This window comes from Homo sapiens, chromosome 21 (assembly GCF_000001405.40).
Source record: "Homo sapiens chromosome 21, GRCh38.p14 Primary Assembly".
Taxonomy (NCBI): domain Eukaryota; kingdom Metazoa; phylum Chordata; class Mammalia; order Primates; family Hominidae; genus Homo; species Homo sapiens.
The window spans coordinates 39,861,120-39,881,331 of NC_000021.9; the positions used below are offsets into that span (position 1 = coordinate 39,861,120).

Here is a 20,212-nt window from a genome sequence, read left to right on the forward strand (position 1 = left end):
CTCAGCCACGTCATGGTTCCCACATCGTGCATGCTTTCCACAGGTATAGCACCCCACTTCCCCAGGGTGAGCGCCCTAACACCTGCACACTGCTGCACTTCAGTGGGGCTCCATGCTGCACCTGCACGCTGCACTGAGGGTCCACACTTTCAGCTGGCTGGCAGGTGATCCAGATCCAAGCCCTGTGCCAAGGTCTGCTTTCCTCCCACTGCTCCTGATGTGACTGTCAGGTCAGTTTCCTGGAAGCTGCCTCTAAGGTGGAGATGAGAATGCAGGGTGATACTGAGCCATGCCTTGTAATGATACTGTGTGGCAGTGAATGGGGCAGGATGGGGCAGAGACAGAACTCAGGCCATGATTGAGGCAGAGCAATGCCTCCGTGGATCCTACAACAAGCTTTGGAGATGGAATGGAAGATTCTGCAGAGTTGTTCCAAATTGGGACCAGGGGGCCAGGCCTTTTTTGGATATGTTCTGCCCCCTGCATAGCTCCCTTTGGCTGACAGCAATCTCTTTAGGGGCTCAGAATTGAGAGTTGGGTCCATCACCAACACTCTCAGCAGGTGGGACAATGAGTACTTCAGTCCCCAGAGGGTGGGGGATTGGGGTGGTCCACTATGGAGTCCAGCACAGAAACCAACTTTAGCTCTTGGTCAGAGGTCTTAGTCACCTCAGGATGCCTTAAAAGAATACCACAGTCGGGAGGGTCAGCAACAGAAAATTACATTCTAACAGTTCTGGACGCTGGAAATCCAAGGTCAAGGTGCCAGGGCTGGCTCCTTCTGAGATCTCTCCCCTTGGCTTTTTCTCCCTGTGTCTCCACAGGGCCGTCCCCCTGTGCATGTCTGTGTCTCAAGCTCTTCTTCTTATAAGGACACCAGTCATAATAGATTAGGGTCCAACACTTATATACCTCATTGAACCTTAAACCTCATTAGAGGCCCTATCTCCACATGCAGCTGTGTTGGGGGGCGGGCCTTCAGCATATGAATTTTGCAGGGACACGATCTGGTCTGTAGCTGTAGACGAGCAGGCTGGTTCTGCAGAAAGAATCATGGATCTGAAATTTTGGGAACAATTACTGAAAAGTGAATTGGAGGAGTTCACCTGTGTGGAGAGTGGAGACAGGGAAAATAATTAAGGACTCAACCAAGCCCAATTCTGAAAGCTGTCAGGCTGCTGAGAATCGAGAGGTCCTTTCAGCCAGCCCACAGTGCGGCCTTCAGAGCTGCAGTGGCACTTCGAAGACAAACACCCACTGACCTTTTCATCAAAGAGAGGGGCTGCAGAGGTGACACGCAGGCTCTGCAGGCCAGGCAGCCAGTCCTCATCGGCAGGACAGGCTTGGGCATTTAATTGGGCTGAAAGGAACTATGAGTTATAAAATGACCTTTCCATCCATACATAGGGAATAATTTAAGCCTTAAGAATAGGAGCGGCTTCAGTTATGTTCGTAGCACTTGGAATTAGAAGGTGTGACAAGACAGAGATCCGTAGGAGCATCACGAATGGATTTTACCTGTCCCTGTATGTCTCCCATATTCTTCCTTTCTCTCCTGTTGGCTGGTGCCTTTTGGAAGAGTCACTTCACCTAGGTGTGAAGATGGGATGGAAGGTTGCATGCATAAAACCCAAATTATTTCAGATTAGAGGGAGACATAGAGGGTAAAGGAAAGAGAGAGAGAGAGAGAAAGAAAATACAAGTTATGCATACCAGGTTCTCAATAACTTCAAGAAATAAAAAAACATACACACCTACTATACAGAGTGGCTAATTAAGAGTGACCAGTAGTGTGGAGAAGATATGGGGTATGATGTAGAGGCATAATGATGTTTGTGCAATATTAGTTGCTAAAATCCTGGAAGACCATAGCCAAATATTTCTGTTAATTATTATTTTTTCTTCAGAAAGGCAGTAAAACCCAATTATCTAGGTTTAAAACAGGTGTGTTTTGTGGGAAGATTTTTTAACATTTTAGAAAACTGGACTAAAATTTGACAGCCGATTTTAAAATACCCTTTTTTCTCATTTTCAAAAGAGAAAATTCTTACCTGTTGGCATGGGAAAGAGAATTTAATTTCACAGAACAAAAGAGCTTTCTTTCCTACAGCAACATTCACACTTAGTGACCGCTGGGTATTTATTTATTCAGAAGTGGTTTCAGGTGCCGACTCAGTGCTGGGCATCATGCCAGGCATGGCAATGAAAAAATAAGCGGGGTGATGTGGCCTGGCCTCTCCCTCTCTCAAGAGGCTTAAAGTCCAGAAGGTGGGAGACAAGGCTTGAGTAAACAAGCACACATACTCATGCATCCTTACAACAAGTACATCCTTCCAGGAGGGGTTTAAAGAATTAGGCTGCATGTCCATATCTGTGGATAGAACCTGCATAGCCTCCCGGCTCGGGGCCACATCACATCCAGTGGTTGGCAGCAGGCTAGAGTCTGCAGGAAGATTCAAGCTCAGGGCAGCAGGGAAGGAGGTGAGGAGTCAAAGACAGGAGCCCCTGGGTTCACCCATCGGGCCAGGGATGCTGAGGCTCCCCATGTAGACACCCAGAGTGTATAGTTGGCATCGGGCTGGGAAGCAGTGAAGGTAGAAGAAGGGAGCCTCGCCATGAAGGCCAGGCTGTGCAGTCTCCGTTCCAAGGAGGATGACCACCTTCTTCATCTGTGCTGGATTAAAACAGCGCTATGTCTGCAAAGGCAAGGAAATGAAGCAGAAGGTAGGTTCTTTTTCAAAGTCCCCCACACCTCCAGAAACTATACACAAATGATGCATTTGGTATGCAAGTCTGATGAAAAGCCCTAGGTCATTAATATATAGTGTCCCTATAAATAATCTCAAAGACAGCTTGGGCCAACTCTGCCCCTTCAGGCAGGATCATGCTTCTAAGAAGATGAAAATAATCTGTCCTTATTATATATATACATTTCCATAAATTATAGAACCACATGTCTGTATTTTAATTCAGCCAGGCTGAAGTTTTCCCCAAGATCTAATATACGAAGCTGTAGATCTAATTCTTCTGAAGTTCCTTCAAAATTTATTTCCCAGCTCAATATATTTCATGTAGATATTTTTGCTTAGGTTGGCAGATGCAAGGCTTGAATACTTGTATATTACCAGTGGAGAAAATCAGACACTGAGCAATGGAACAACTTCGCCAAGGTCATACAGAAAATGATTTCTCACATCTAGGATCCAAGTTCTAAGCTTCTGGTTCAGAACCCCATTGGTCACGTAAGAGTGTTTGGCTAACCTGAGAAAAGTCGAATGATGGGGCACGTTGAAGCTATTGACATACATGTGTAAAAGTAAACCACAGCCAAGCGGGCCTGAAAAGGAGGTGGAAAGGGAGAGAGTATCACTGTGTCAAGCAGCACGTCTCAAACCTGACTGCTCATCGGAACCACAGGAAAAGGTTGAAAGATTGCTCATTGACTGTCCTTGTCCCTGGATATGCTATGAAGAGGTCCAGGTAGTCTTTGGCGTTCTTGATCTGGTAACTGGTCTTATTGGGGTAGTACTGTCCCACGAGGATGAATGGGAGGAGATGTCGTCCCAGGGCCCATCTGTGGGAGAGGATGCAATGTGTGTTCAGGCTGGGGTGCCTCTTGACAGCTAGCATGCTTGCATTTGAGACCTGGTGGGTTGCACACTCAGACCTGTCTTGTGTCACTGGCGAGCACCGATTTCCCAGGGCAGCTTGACCCTCCCTTTGTAGCAATACTGAACGTTCATTTTGTGTTCTCTATAACAGGACAACTCCACGACTCATTAACAGGAGATAGTTATTTTGCTAAAGATATCCTGGGGAAATAAGTAGGATGAAATTGCATACCACAAGGCCTTGAGAAAAATCCCCCTTAAGGTAATTCTATCCTTTCCCTGAAATTTCTCTGTGTGCTTGTGATGGCATCTGTGTTCGTTTCCTGTGGCTACCAGAATCAAGTACCAAGACTGCGTGGCTTAAGCAACCAAAATGTATCCCCTGGCAGTTCTGGAGGCTGAAAGTGTGAGGTCAAGGGGCAGCACGGTTGGTTCCTCTGAGACCTCTCTCCTTTGCTTGTAGATGCCATCTTCTCCCTGTATCCTCACAGCGTTGTCCCTCTGCGAGTGCCTGTGCCCTAATCTATTCTTCTTATAAGGACACCAGTCTATTGGATTCGGGCCCACCCTAGTGACCTTGTTTTAACTTAATCACCTCTTTAAAGACCTTTTCTCCAAATAAGGTCACATTTTGAGATATTGAGGGTTAGGACTTGAATGTATGAATTCTGGAGGAAGGCAATCAGCTCAGACCATAACCCATTCTCCCCAATAGTCTTCATAGTCCCTTGGTTGGTCCCAAAGAATTGCTGAGTCTACCCAGCAAAGCCTCAGCCCAGCCCTGCACCTCCAATCCTGCCCCTCTACTTGGAGCCTCAGCACTAATTGCTGTGCTGCCAACCTCAGGCTGCTGCAGCCCTTGATGTGTCTTTGTGTTGTTAGAAAATGCAGGTCTGCTCCAGAGCCAGCCAGCAGAGCACAGGCTGATTCTCCACATGCCCTCTGCACAGCCTGGAGGACCACAGCAGGGACCCCATGGAGGCTCACACTGGGAGACCCCTTCTACACCTCCAGGCTGTGGGGGTCCAGCCCCCAACAGGGCAGGAGGCCCCTGGGGAGGGTGTGGTTTTTGCCCCTGAGAAATCACAGGTGTCTCCTAGTATAGATAAGCAAGCACCCTTCTTCCAATCTGTCAATCTGTCCTACATCGCAGATGACACTATGGCTCCAGTTCCTCACCCTGCCCTCCTCCTCCTTCTCTCCCACTACTAACCACCTGGGCAACCCTAAAGGCATCCCACGTGGGCCTTCCCAAGCGTGGCATTGGGGGCAAGGAGGAGGAGGGGAGTGAGAGAAGGAGGATGCTGTCTTCATTAGTTTGCAAATGATTTGTGTGGTCAGGATATGTAAATAAATAATTTATATACATATAAAAGAAACGAATATAACACACATATTTTATATAATATATATAATGTTCATTTCTGTCGCTCTGTGAAATATAGGTTATTTTATAATAACTCATGTATGAGACTCTGTCTTGCTGGCTGGTGTTCCCACGCTGTGGGCGAGGGTGCTGACCAGCTGGTGCTCCTGGCCAAGGCCTCTGAGGGCAGCCTGTGCTCGCCGGTGCCCATTTGGGGGCGCATGGCCTTCTGCTTGCTGTCCAAGGTGGACCTGAGGATGTGGTCGCATCGGTGACCTGGGCATGTAAGGAGGGCAGTCCAGGTCAGAGGGCGTGGGGCTGCTGAGCTGAGGAGAGAGGGTTGATGGGCTGGAGTCTGGTGGCCTGCTCTGCACAGGGAGATGAGGGGTGCTGGGGACGGGTGGCAAGACGCTTCAATCTTCTCGCCAGACCCTCTCAGTCCTGTACCGGGACTGGCAGAGTAACAGATGTGAATGTGCCTTCAGTCTGCACAACGCTTTTTTGGGACAGTTGAGGGCCCACTCTGATGCCTTGAAGACTCTTCAGAGCCTCACGATGTTGGGACTGAACAAAGGATGGAACCTCTTCCCGGAAAAGCTGAACAGGACTAAGGCAAGGAGACCTTCAACCAGGCCAGGGCCAATGCCCAGGCTCCTTCCTGGCCCCACTGTGGTTGTGAGGAGGGCACATCAGCAAGGCTGCTGGAGCCGCTCGCCTCCTTTGTTGAGGTCGTGGGGACCCATTCCCATGTCCCAGTCCATCTACTCTTATCCTTCCAGCTCAGGGTACAAGCAGGGCGACAGATATGGGATAGGGGAGAGACAGCAGAGATATTAAAGTCCTTGGGCTGAGTTTTGTGTTATAAAGGGCAAGGGAAACACAGCTCCTGGGAAAACCTGAAAGTGCGTGAGCGGGCACGCAGGTATTTTCAGAGCTCCTCTTCCCTTAGAAAAACAATCCTTCCCATTGACATTTGAAAGGTATTTTACATGCATGTAAATCTTGCACTCATTGAAAAACGCACAATGGCATCCCTGTGATGATCTTTGAAACTTTAGCTTTTACTTTTTACTTTTTTTTTTTTTTTAAAAGAGACAGGGTCTCGTTCTGCTGCCCAGGCTGGAGTGTATTACTTTTTAAAGAAATCGAGCATTTCCTTCCATCCTGGCGGAATTTGGAGCAGCGACCTAACGTGCCGTTCTCTTTTGCACCACTAGGTGGCCCCTGGTGCTCTCAGATGTCGGCCAGGCTTGCAGACAGGTGAATGCATCTCATTGGCTCCAGGGAGGCATGATGCCACCGGGCAGCTCTTTTTAAGAGAAAAGCCAGAACCGGTGGAGCAGCGACCCCTGAGCAGTGTTCTCTGTGCTGAGCGGCGGGACTGAGCTGTTGAGTTAGAGCCAACATGAGTGAGGTGAGTGATGCTTCGACCTGGAGAGGGAAACTTAGGAGTGAGAAGGGACCTCGGCTGAAGGATTAGTCTCAGGAAATGTGAGGGACTTAGCAGTGCTGAGGAACAAATTAATCCTGTAATTATTTGCTTGGAGAACTGACAGGATTAATCTCTTGGTTTGAATGGTAAGTGCAGAAATTGGTTAAGTTTGCAACTTCTACAATTAGCCTGAGGAGGAGAAAGGTTTGCTTTCTGATTGAATGGTGACTTTGAAAAGTGCTTTGGGTTTTAGAGCTCAGAAGAGAAAGCCAAATGTTTTATTCTCTTACGAAGATGCGTGTCTTTGCATGATTCCCGCGGTGATACCTTTCAGAATGTGAGTGGGCAGGTGGTCATCTGGTGAATGCAAGCCATGGAAGGGAAGGGGACAAGGTGGGGAAAGGGCTGGCCGTTGGGTGGCATTTCATGGCTCAGTTGTACAAACTACCTCTGCAGTTAATCAGAGCACCAGGGAAAGAAATGCAAAAAGTAGTAGGAACTGGGAAACATCCGTGTGTATAGATCTGTGGCTCTAAGACCGGAGGCGGCCCCGGCAGAAGAAGAGCTACAATTTTGCAAATCCAAAGTCACTTCTCTAAACTTGTTTATACAGAATGTGTTTTACTGGGGCCAACTGACAGCACGTTTGTTTTTCTAAAATCATCTTCTCCTTTTTTCTCATCTATGAAGCAGATTAGCGGTGGTACAACACCATTCTCTAATTCAACTCAATAACCGAGCCAAATGCATCTTCATTTCCTCTTGGTTGGCACTTAAATAATTACTTTTAAAGATCTTTTATCTTCTCTGTCTCTTTTTGACAGATGGATGATTCTTTTCTTGGAAGTCTAGGATAAAATTAACAACTTCAGAAATAAAATGCCTCCTCCCTGCTTTTATCTCTCTGATGGGTGATTTTTGATGTAAACATGACAAGAAGAAGAGCAAAGCACTATAAAACTTAGAAATGGGGTTTAGGACAAAGCCAGGGGTTTGAGGCAGGGAGAGACCAACTGTGGGGTGGAAGATGGGAATTCTCCCACCACCACAATCAATGGTACCTGTAACAGCAGCTAACACTTGCCTAATGGTCTGTGTGCCGACAGTGTCAGGCTGTCTCTGCATCTGTCACCTTCTTTGAACCTCTCAACAACTCCGTGCAGTGGGCACCATTATTATTCCCAATTGACAGATGAGGACACTGAGGCACAGAGATGGGAACTAAGTGGTTTGAGGTCACCAGCTAAAGAACAGTAGAGCCAAGACTTGGGCTGCAATGCTGGGTGGTTGACTGCCGGGTGAATCTTGATGTCTAAATGTGTATGGAATTTGCTGAACAGAGGGGATGGCAGAGGTTGGAGGAGGAGAGGGGAGGTGAAGAGAAAGAAAGAAAGGAGCTGGGGCTCTGAAATAGAGATGGAATGATGAGGATGAGACCTCCATTTCCCACATGCTAGGAGGAGGGGCTTTCTGCTGGACTCTACAGATATTTCAGAAGCTTCTGTGTCCACATCAGCTCACCTTGCTTGCAACAAGAAGGGATGGCTGCGTGGAGTGGTTTTTCTTTATATACAACTTATCCAATAAGAGTTTCCTATAGAAGAAGGACTTAGAAAGCAGCACAGCACTGAGGGGTGGCCTCTCGGGTCAAGTCAGCTACCCTGGGATTCTGGCTCAGTCATGCCGTCACTTGCTGAGGCTTCTGGCCAGCAAGGTGCTCATGAGCTCTCCAGGATGCTCAGCTCTGCTGGGCTCACTCAACTGTGCGGGTCTCCAGGGAGAAAGCGCGTGTTCCAGAGCTCACCTGTGATTAGGGTCACAGCCTGGTTCCTGCTGAACGGGTAATCAGGGCAGCTCTGTAGTCACCGCCCCGCCATGGCGCTTATCAGACACATTTGCAGGTTCTTGCAGGAGCTCTTGCCTTAGTTCCTTTAATGTGGATAAAAGCACACAAGGGGCACATCCCACTTTTCTGCCTCCCCTTGCTGCTCACAAAACCCCTCCCAGCTCTCTGCTCCTCATCCTCCCTCCTGCCCTCTTCTCCCCCTCACATCACATGAGGCCTCCTCCCTCTGACCATCAGCATGGCCACCGCTCCTGGCTGATCTCCAAGTTCCTGGGCATGTGCTCCTTGGAGAGCAGGAATTTGTCCTTTGACTAAACCTCAAATCTGCTTAAAATCTTTAGTAAAGTGCAACAGAAGCTCCTTTCTGGGTAGAGAACTCGATTCCCCCTTCATGGCACCCCTCAAGGGGTTTCTTTGGTTGGATGAATTAAATGTGGCTCCTAGTTTTAATAACTCTCAGGCAGAAATGGCTTTCAGATCATCATTTACTTGCATGTGTGACTAATTACCAAAGAAAGCCAGAGCAATGGATTTTGCCAGACTTTCCTTGACCTTAGGATTGATTGGGGTCTGGTGGGCCAATAGTGCCTGCTGCAGTGCCAGGGCTGAGTGCCTGCTGCAGAGGCTCCGGAGCTCATTAGCTGCTTACCCAGGCCAGTGGGCAAGCCTGCTGGCTGGAGAGGACCCCAAAGTGTCATATACTCCCCGGGGCCTGCTCTGCACTTCCAGGCCTCCCCGCCTTTAAGGGAAAGGTGGAGTGGCAAAGGGAGCCTCGAACTGGCTTTAAACTGGGCAGCTTTACAACAAGACGTCTTCTTTATTTCCTGTAACAACACTTTTTAGGGGAAATGACATGTGATAGAAAAGAACAGCTCAGGAAAGTAAAGTACAGCGAGGAAAGTAAAGTCCAAATTTAGGGTAATGTGAGAGAGAGGAGGTGGTTTGTGGGGGTGTCTGATTTACATTTTGGTATTAAAATATGTCAGATGTGCCTGGAGCAATCTATGAGATGAATTGGAAGAGAATGTAGCAGGGATCAGAATGCAGGCTTAAGTCTATCAGCTGGATCAGAAATCTTAACCATCACAGCCTCAGTTTACAAGGTGCATTCTTTCTCCCTCATCGTACTCACCCAGGCACAAGAAAAATGACTACCTTTGTTCAGCCACTTCATAGAGCTTTTGAAAAAAGAGTTCCTGGAATAATGACAGTCAGTCCCACGTTCTCCTTTAGGTGTCTATTTTTAAGTTGCTTTTCAAAAGAACTCATTTAGGAGAGCTAGGGGCAAGGTTGGAAGGCATAAGGACAAACATCTGAGCGTGAATTTAAAAACGTGACGCCCTTGCCCTGTTTAGGGTGCGGGTTGGAGACGTTCCAGGTCACGTAATCAAATGACAGCTATTAATTGGACTTGAGACCCCTTTGGGAAAAGCCTCTTCGTAACCCCGAGTTTCACGGTCATGGGCTGGGCTTTTTTCTTGCTTTGGCGTGGATGGGAAAGTGCAACTCAGTACAAGGGCTGTGGCTCTTTCTTTCGTCTAGACATTGGCCGCAGGGCAAGGCGATGCCCATCAAAGGCATGGTTTGAAAAACATCAAGGACATTTAAGGGTAAATCTTTAGATACACATGTCTGTTCTTAGCACCCAAACAGAATCCATGTCGAACTTAATGTATACGTTAAAACGTACAATAATCTCTAAAGGAAGAAGAAAGCTGTAAATGGCATTTTTCTTGACAGAGATTGCAAACGGGAGGCTACATGCAGTTAACTCGTGAGGTGAGGACATAGAAAAAACATGAATTAAAAAAATGTTTTGCCACTGATTTTAAAATATCATACATACAACAGTGGTTTGGGGCTTACATAGTTGACTCTCACGATTGCCCAGTGGAGGGACTAAGGTTAAAACGAAACAGATCCTAAGAAGAGAAAGATTATGGCTTTGAGCTTCTTACAACGTAAGGGTAAACTCAAACAGATGCTAATGGGTGGCTGATTAGATTTGTAAGGAGCTGTATATTTTAGACCAGTTGTTAAGCACAGATTCTGAGGGTGACTGCATAAAATGTGGGTTTTGCAAATGGTCTGCAAAACCCAGCAACAAAGGTCAAATGACAATTCAACTTCTTATGTAATTATAACCCCATTTGAGGGTGTACCTGCAGCAAGGACTCTGACAGATCAAGCAAGATCAGTTTTAGTTTCGTTGGACAACACCATGAAAGATACTCTTTCCTCTAATTGGGGATATTAAGTCCACATAGTCACCAGTTACAATCTGGGTTTGAAGTTCAACTTTTCCTAATAGAGAAGAGGTCAAAATTAAGCAGGAATATGTGTTTCCCAGGGCCGATGATTGTTAAGAGTTGCCATAAAACTTGTTTCCCCAGTCATGCATTCTATGAAGAAATGCTGTGGGGTTAAAAAGTCTCAGGTTTTCTCTTTTGAATTTTAAGAATGACACAATGCAAGATGTATATTTTTTTTTCAAAAAGAAAATAAATGACTCATTATTGATTTTATTAAAGGTTTAGTGAAGTAGTACGATCAAGATGAAAAGAAAACATGTTTTTGTAATGGAAAGTTTCTTAAACTTATGATGAGCACATTCTTTGTGTTATTTATTTACTTATTTATTTGAGATGGAGTCTCTCTCTCTTGCCCAGGCTGGAGTGCAGTAGCGCGATCTTGGCTCACTGCAACCTCTGCCTCCCAGGTTCAAGCAATTCTCCTGTCTCAGCCTCCTGAGTAGCTGGGACTATAGGCTCCTACCACCACGCCCAGCTAATTTTTGTAGTTTTAGTAGAGACAGGGCTTCACCATATTGGTCTGACTGGTCTCGAACTCCTGACCTCAGGTGATCCGCCCGCCTTGGCCTCCCAAAGTGCTGGGATTACAGGTGTGAGCCACCGCACCCAACCTGCGTTATTTTTTAAAATTCTAATTTCTACTCTCAGTGTTTCATTAGAGATGTGATCGGGGGAAGGCATTCACAATTTGTCTATGGTCCTTCTGTTCTTAGACCACTGGACACATTGAACTATTTGGACGCACAGATAATATCAGGACCTAAGCCTGGGGCTTTTCATTAATTTAAAATGACTTTCTAGAAAGGTCTTCATACTGGGAGAAAAGAAGAATTTTAGGGGATGCATGCATACAGGTTTATGTTATATTTAATGATATTTTTATGAAACACAACATTAAATATCCTGCTGTTAAAGTATTATAGGCTGCATAGTATTGATTAGAAGCATCCCAGACTGTGAACTTCCCAAAAGGGACAATTTTATGTCATTCACAAGTCTGACTGCTGGTTGGGCACTTGGTAAATGTCCAGTTACTGAATGAATAAATAAGTTTTGGGATGTGGATTTATCAGTTGCTGTAATCAATAGGCCAGGCACCCTCTTCTCTAAATGTTGAGGCTTGTGGTTGGGATACATTTGGGAAAGTTGTATTCCATCTTTTGTTCTTTACTCCTGGTTTGAAACCTGTGTTTGCCATGTAAATCCTTTTATGTGGGAAATGGGTGCATTGTTATATACGCAACATAAGTGCTCTCATGACAGTAAAAGAAAATGAGAAAAAATAAGAAGGATCTCAACAGAAGGACCTCTTGACATTTGGGAAAATGTCAGGGAAAATATGGGAACGGAGCAAGGGACGTAGAATTCTAATATCCTATGTTTCCCTGTTGTCTCCATTGAGACTAGCTCACTTCAGATAAGCTCAATGAAACTCAAGCAAAAGAGACTGTAGCCAGAGAGGCAGAGCCTGTGAATACCTTGGAAAGTGGTTTGCTGTATTGAAACAGAAAACCAATTTGACTGTGATTAGAAGAGAATAAGAGAGAGTCTAAGCAGATCTGTAGTAATATAGCCCCAGTGCCCAATCTCCATCAGCCCAGTTGTAAACTCTGGCATATTGTTGAAGGTAAACATCTAGCACGCGGAAAGCAAGTTCCATATTATTGCAAGGAAATAATTTAATTATCATCTAAAATTAATTCTTAATAGCATACTCATAATATTAATTAAAATAAATAATTGATATTTGAATATTTAAATATTTTAGTAAATTTATATTTGAAATAGGAATATATGAAAATTTATATGCAAAAAGGGATGGATTCAAATTTCTTTTCTTGGGGAGTTCGAAACTGAATTGCACGTCCATATCCCCATGTGATTAATCTGATAGGAGCTCTGCTTTCCTATCATCCCCAGGGATGAACTATTTACCATTCTTCTTCCCATTTTTCAAATGAGGTGCAATGTGAACAATGAATACAGAAACGTTTTCCAGTCACCTGGCACAAGGGCCTTTGGGGTATAGATATGGGAATGTTCGATAATGGATTGTTTTGTGCCACAAACAAAGCAAGCTTGCCACAGTCATCAATGGCTCAAACCTATAAATGCCACATTCATGTTGGGGCCATTCTACATGAACAATTTAGCATAAGCCACACATTCCAGGCATGGGTCTGCTTGTATATTGTTTATGCCTCACAAAGAGCTCTGAATTTATGCTTCAGAATCTCACTGAATTTACTGCTCATTCCATTTCTGGAAGGGAAACACTTGGCCCATATTTATGACATTGCCAGTAGAAAAATCAATCACCCACTAAATGCCATTATTTTATATTTTACTCTTAACCTGCCATTTTATAAATGAAAGGAAGACAAATTAGACTCATAAAGCAGGAAGGTAATCATCCACAAATTGAACATTTAAGGGCAAGGAAGCAAAAGCTGTGAACTGTTCCAACCATTCAAATAAGGCAATTTTCCTCACAAAGGAGCTAGAATAGAGAGCAGGGGAGTCCCTCTCTTCAAGGTTTCTGCCCTCCATTTTAGGACAGTCTTGGACTTGGATGAGACTAAAACGTCTCCAGCCATACACGAGTCAGACCTCTTCCTCGTAGTTCAAAAGACAACTTTTGAATGTTAAATATTATTTACGACGGTTTGATAGCAAAATGGGATCCAGATTGGCTTGAGATCACGCTATTCCTGGTATAACAATCCAAGTCTGTGGTATAGTGGCATGACAAAAGACACAGTCATCTGTTCCCGTAGCACCACATCTGTGCTTTGGTCAATAATCGAATGAAGTAATGGTTATTTTAATTTTATATGACCTCTGAGAAAAGGACTCCAGAAGTTAACAAGACCCATTAACATGTGTCTTAATCAAATAAGAGTAAAAATATAACAAGGAAACACAGAAACACAAGAGGGAGAAATAATATAATTTCTTCCTTTTTTTTCAAGATCTTTTTTTTTTTTCTAAAAAACAATACAAGCATCTGTTCATCAGGTGGTTAAGTTCTAGTATTTTAAAAAAAAACCTAGTTAAAAGGTTACACCTGCTTTAAAATTTATGATTCTTATGTACAGTAGCTCCCCCTTATCTTCAGATGCCCGGTGAATGGCTGAAAGTGTGGGTGGTACCGAATCCTACACATGCTATGCTTTTTCCATCCGATAATACCTGAAAGTGCTGCTAAGTGGCTACGGGCAGGTAGTGTAGACAGTGTGGATACGCTGGGCAGATGAATGATTCATGTTCTTAGACAGCAAGCGGTTTCATAACGCTACTCAGTAGAGTGTGCAATTTGCAACTTATGAATTGTTTATTTCTGGGATTTTCCATTGAATATTTTTGGACTGTGGTTAGCAGCAGGTAACTCAAACCTCAGAAAGTGAAACCAAGGAAGGTTAAGGGGGAACTACTGTGTGCAATTTCTTTATTAAATAATAGCCACTGTTTCGTTAGGAGTTGTTAGAGAAATATCACTTTTTTTTTTCTTGTACCCAGCAAAATGACTAATTGTATTTAGGGTTTTCTTTTTCAAATTGTAAATTTTCTCACAGTTTTTTTTTTGTTATGCAGAGAAATCTCTGATGCAATGAATGGGTCAAATTTTGAGCTGAGTGTGGCTGTGTGACAGCATCCTGGGTGCTGGTCTCCTCATCTCTGAGGGGTGACAGCATACACACAGACACTGGTGCTGCCACAAGTCTGCCCATGTCCAAGACGGGCGATGGTGTGGAGCCTTCCTTTACAGATCATAACTCTGCATCTTCCAGAGAGTTTTAGGTGGAAATAGCAACAAGCAAAACTTCAAACCATTATGCCATAGTGAGATCTTCTCCTTAAAACAATAAGGGTGACTTGACGTGATTTTATCCTCTTGCCTTCTATGACTTTCCACAATTGTGGTTGCTCTAACAACAACTGTCTGTTTTAGCATATCAATGTTTTGGGAACTATCTTTTCAATCTTCCTGCAGATCCATAACAGAACTATGGAATAGTGTCCACAATGACTAAGGATATCAATACTCCCAAGTTTTTGATAGTGTACCTTAATAGGGAAAAAATTTGACCATGTATACACAACAAATTTTTATTTATTTTACAATTATGTATACATGCGAATATGCCAATATAGTAAGAGTTAATCATTAAAGGAAGGGTAAGGAAATCTGTAATTCCAATAGACTTTTTGGTAACTGTACTTCTTTTTGAGTCTAATTTGATGGCTGAGGTTTTTAAGCTTGTATTGGTGCCCATGAAGACATCCTAAGAAAAGAAGGTTTAGTTAGTGCTTCTATCGTTTCCTTGGTGTTTGTGCTGATGGTGTTAGTATTATTTTCAGTCTATGATTTAATGCAGAATTTTTCAATTAAATCTGAATATATATTTAATTGAAATATATATTAAATATATAGTAAATAATATATATATGATTTACTATTTTAACCACTTTTAAGTGTACAGTTCAGCGGTATTAATTACATTTACACTGTCGTGAAACGGGTCCACAGAACTTGTTCATCTTTCAAAGCCAAGACTCTGCACCCATTCAACAACCACTCTCCATTACCCCGCCCCTATCCTCTGGCAAACCCATTCTATTTCTTACCTCTATCAGTTTGACTACTTTTGGTACCTCCTGTGCGTGGAATCATACAGTATTTGTCTTTTTGTGACTGGCTTATTTTACTTAGCATAATGTCTTCAAGGTTCATCTATGTTGTGGCCTGTGACTATATAGGACATTTTAAAAGCCACTTACCTACTGTGGGAAGATTAGTTTAGTTAAAGGTAGATTGTATAATCTGTAAATCCTCTTAATGGAACATAAGGAACTGCAAGGTATCACATGATGATATTCTGAGAGCAAGTCAACAGGCAGTGTGTCTGGGACAATCTCCCATTGTGGGACTCCTACTCTTTCCTACCCACCAAGTGATGATGTCATTATCAATCCAGATATTAGCTATGAATGAAACCTAATTTTTAAATTGATCTTAGATCCTACACAAATATAAATAGAAATTCTAAAGTCTTCTTTACCATGAGTGTTTGTGGCAGTGAAGCACCTTACAACCCCAGAGGTGCCGTTGACACTGTGGTCTGTGCCAACAGCACTGCCTGGAGTTGTGCTGTGAACAACCTATGCCACTGAACATGGTGGCTCTGCCCTTCCTTGAGTTGATGTCAGCCTGCTTAAGGACGGTTGACCTTGAGAAAGGCTGTCGTTTTTATAGTTCCACTTAGAATTCAGGGAATCAGAGAAGGGCATCGTTGTCATTTCATTCAAAGTGGTCATTTTAAAATAGGGGACTGAGTGTCCAACGATGAATCTTGTGCAGAATCACAGAGCTTCTTCAGAGAAAACCTAAGTTTCCTTTCCACATTTTCCATGCTATTACATTTCTCATTTTCTGGATACAACCTAATTTCTTTTAAACCTGTCCAAATTCCACTTAGGGTTTGCACAAGTAATTTATTAAATTAAAATTGTCCTGAATATTTTTATTAGCCTTGAGTAAAAAAAGAACAGCCACAGAAATCTTGACAAAGCCATTGTTTTGTTCATCAGGTCTTCCACTCTATTTCTAGGGATTCCAGCTTCCACCCTGACACCCCCAGCCTCCCATCCCGTCACACACAGAGAAGCTGAGAAATGTTAATAATGCTTCCCTGTGGAATGTTTCATTAAGACCCTTGTTGGGCATGGTGGCTCACTCCTGTAATCCCAGCACTTTGGGAGACCCAGGTGGGAGGATTGGTTAAGCCCAGGAGTTAGAGACCAGCCTGGGCAACATGGCGAAACCCCGTCTCTACCAAAAATTAAAAAAAAAAAAAAAATTAGCCGGGTGTGGTGGTGCATTCCTGTAGTCCCAGCTACTCAGGAGGCTGAGATGGGTGGATGGTTTGAGCCTGGGAGGTGGAGGTTGCAGTGAGCCATGATCATGCCACTGCACTCCAGCCTGGACAACAGAGCCAGATCCTGCCTCAAAACAAAAACAAATACAAAAACAAAACAAAACAATCAAAGAAACAAGACCCTTGTTGGCAAAGTTTTCTTTTGTTTTGCCTGGTAGTGTTCTTGACTTTGAGGTTATACCAATCACCTTTATGCCTTGCTTACTTCCTAGTGCTCTGTTTGAATGAGGAAGAGCATTCTGAACCCTAACATACACAATTTTTAGAAAACATTTGTCCAGAAAATGGTGGCCCTTTTTATGGCCAAAACCATTGCATATATAATCAGTCATCACAAATTTTGTAGTCACATTTCTTTTTTTCTTCTAGATTGTGACGAGAGAGAGAGAGAGATTATGTCTTCTATACCGTTTCATCTTCCCAGCACTATATCATTGAACTCCCATTGATGGAGAATCAATAAGACGTGGTCCTTACCCCTTAAAGAACTTGTAGGGGGAGACAGAATCACATAAAATTAACTCTACTCTGGTGTCCACGCAGAGCTACAGGCCTATTCTCTGTATAAAGCAAGTGCCAGGATGCATGGGTTAATTTGCCATTGCTCAGAGCTGGGAAGGAGAGGAAAGAAGATGCTAATGGGTAACCTTCCCAAAGCAGCCGGGGCTTACAGAAGTAGGGGCTCAGCACACATTGATTGAAGAATAGCACTACGATAGCACTCTGCGAATCTTAAAAGTCATACAATTTAGAGCCATGTGAGAATTTAGCAATCTTCAAGCTCATTGTATAGATACATGTCCATTATGATACTGTAGTTAATTCTGAACTCCTGCCTGGTGATAAAAATTGCTTTAAACATGTTGGACATTTTCTCATCCACATCAATGAATATTTGGGCTCTAGGGACTTGTTGCATCTTTCTTTAAAAGTGAAAAGTCTTCTGTATATTGGAAAGAGATTACATGAGGACAGTCAATTACATTTTTGAAAGTGCACACATTGGTTGGTTGTAAAATTTACATGATCCAATTGTGAGAACTGTGTACATGGATTTAGGTATGTCTGTTATTTCCCTTTGTGAGAGTATCTATCCGTGCTTGCTCATGGTAGAGTATCATTGCACTTTGTATCTCAGAGCTTCTAGTGGCTTCTTAACCATTATATTATTGTCTTTTCTTTGAAGTTTGCTCAGGGGATGGGCTCAACCCTGTATTTATAACTCTGCTCTCACATATGCTTAAGTCTTGTCAAAATATCTAGATAATACAGTGCCACACCTCAAATATTTCTGGAAATGTTCTATACCTCAGAAATGTGGGATATTTTACCTCTTCTTGAAGAAAATTTTCTTTTCTTTCCTTTTTCTTTTTTTTTTTTTGAGACTGAATTTTACTCTTTTTGCCCAGGGTGGAGTGCAATGGCGCTATCTTAGCTCACTGCAAAGTCCACCTCCTGGGTTCAAGTGATTCTCCTGCCTCAGCCTCCTGAGTAGCTGGGATTACAGGTGCGCACCACCATGACCAGCTAATTTTGTAATTTTAGTAGAGATGGGGTTTCACCATGTTGGCCGGGCTGGTCTCAAACTCCTGACCTCAAGTGATCTGCTTGCCTCGGCCTCCCAAAGAGCTGGGATTGTAGGCATTAAGCCACCAATCCTGGCCAAGAAAGTTTCTTAAAATAGATGTAGCAATTTGTCAAGCACCTCCACCAAATACCTCCTTCAAGTTCATAGTTATTTTTCATCCAGGTTCCTTCTTTGCCGTCTTTAAAAATGATTCATTTCATTTCTCAGGCACTATTCTATGAATTTCCATGTCATCACTTTTTTTCTGAGTTCTTGCTAGGAGCCAGAATTGGCTGAAATTCCTATGAGAGTTCCCCCACAGTTGCATTTTGGATGAGGATTTCGAATTTCACATGACAAAATATAAATGCCGCTAAATGTAACTCCAGAGGTACAAGCAGTGGCGTCGGAGGCCCCTTCTCTGGCTCCTTAATGCCCCCATTAGTATTACAACAAGGAAAAGAGACATGGGCTGAAGAGTCAGGCAGATACTGGCAGAAGTGAGTCCAGTTAAAAACACATCATGGTTCTGTAACCCGCCCTGCTGGCCCCCTCTGCCTTCAACCTCTTTTGAGGTAACGTAGCTCAGAGTTCAGACATCCATAAAAGCCTGTGACAGGGAGTAGGGCAGGACCAGTGACATAATTTGTGGCCCCAATGAAAAATCAATACGATGCCCCTTGTTAAACATTGATTAGAATTTGAAGATGGGGACAGCAACATATCAGACCAAGCCAGGGCCCTTCTGAGAGTGGTCCCCCTTGGACCGCATGGGTCACTCTCTCATGAGGCCAGTCCTGGGTCAAAATGAGAAGCATCCCAATTGCTTTTTAATGAACAAATTAAAAACAAAAGAGGCAGAGCTGAAGAAACATAATTCCATTATCTTTGCAATGTCTGGAGATATCTATATCTATCTATATCTATATCTATATCTGTATCTATATCTATATCTATATCTATATCTATATCTATATCTATATCTATATCTATATCTATCTATATCTATTCCCTGTCCAAGTGGAAGCTCTCAAAATGGCCCAAGCCTGACCATGGAGGTCAGTGGGTGGAGGGTCTTTCCCACAAATCCAAGGGAGCTTTCAAGTTGGTTTGGAGGAAGCCTCCCTAGCAGCATGCTTGAATAAGAAACTATTGTGTTCAAGCATCAGCTTGGCTGGTGCTGAGGACTCTTTTGATGATGAAGTAATAAAATGGATTCAAAATCACTTGGCATATGTATGTGCATGTACATCTGTGTGTGCGTGTGTGTGAGTGTGTGTGTGTGCATGCGTGTGAGTGTGTGTGTATACGTGTATATGTTTAAAGGCCATATAAATGCTAAACTCTGTGTGCAAATGTCCTCGAATTCTGATTCCAACTGTCTTTATCGAGTGCTGGTTGTTTATCCAGGTGAAAGCATCCGCTGGCCAGTTTTGTCCCACGTCTTTTTCTATCAAGTCTTTGGTCCTCACTTCTTCTTCCTGAGTATGTCCGGAGGGAACAGAATGCAGACGTACTAGGCTTTTCAGTTAAAGAAACATTTTTGTATGCTGGGCTTTGGAAATAAAGAGGTCTACCTTAGTAATTCCGGGATCAATATGTGCAGATAGGAAGTAATTTGGTGGTGTGACCTTTGGCCATTTGTAAGTGCCTTGTCCCTGGAAAACAATGTTTAAATTGGAATTGGGTTTGTTTTCCAGCCAATTAAATCCTTCTGGATTTCAGAGGAATTTGAAACAAAATATGGAACAAATATCTATTATGAAGGAGGCACAGCTGTTAGATGAGTTGGTTGTTCGTATTGGTGGTCGTGTGTGCATTTTATTTTTTTTTGTGGGAGAGTAGAATTTTCACTTCTGCGGGGAGCATCTGATCAAATGGCCCATATAACTTTTACCTGTCTGCTAATCTGAGTCTCAATCCACTTCTTGGGCTGTGACAGCTGATTTAGGACAAAACATTCCTTTTCTTCCAAAAGTATACAATCTTGGGCTTCTACTGTTTTCTGAAGCTATTTTTGTTCTAGTTGAATGTTGGGGGGAGAAACCTGGCTATTTGTTTATTATTATACCAAAAAAGAAAGTCTCCAGCTTCTGAAGCTTGGGGCACTCACTGTTAGAGAAACATGTTTGGCAGCAC

At 43.5% G+C, this 20,212-nt stretch overlaps 1 protein-coding gene across 1 annotated transcript in view, besides 1 other annotated feature; it reads left to right on the forward strand.

Moving 5' to 3' along the window:
* Positions 1–6,318: 6,318 nt before the first annotated feature.
* Positions 6,319–20,212, forward strand: part of PCP4 (Purkinje cell protein 4) — a 61,955-nt gene continuing 48,061 nt past the window's right edge. The window contains exon 1 of the mRNA NM_006198.3: positions 6,319–6,391. Coding sequence (NP_006189.2) covers positions 6,383–6,391 — 9 coding nt within the window. The 5' untranslated portion in view covers positions 6,319–6,382. The remainder of the gene's footprint in view (positions 6,392–20,212) is intronic.
* Positions 8,217–8,370: a silencer, noted in NCBI's record as "fragment chr21:41241262-41241415 (GRCh37/hg19 assembly coordinates)". NCBI's record gives its function as "represses an EF-1alpha promoter that drives an FKBP-Casp9 reporter gene in an ReSE screen in HepG2 liver carcinoma cells {active_cell/tissue: HepG2}" and the evidence as "EXISTENCE:reporter gene assay evidence [ECO:0000049][PMID:32094911]".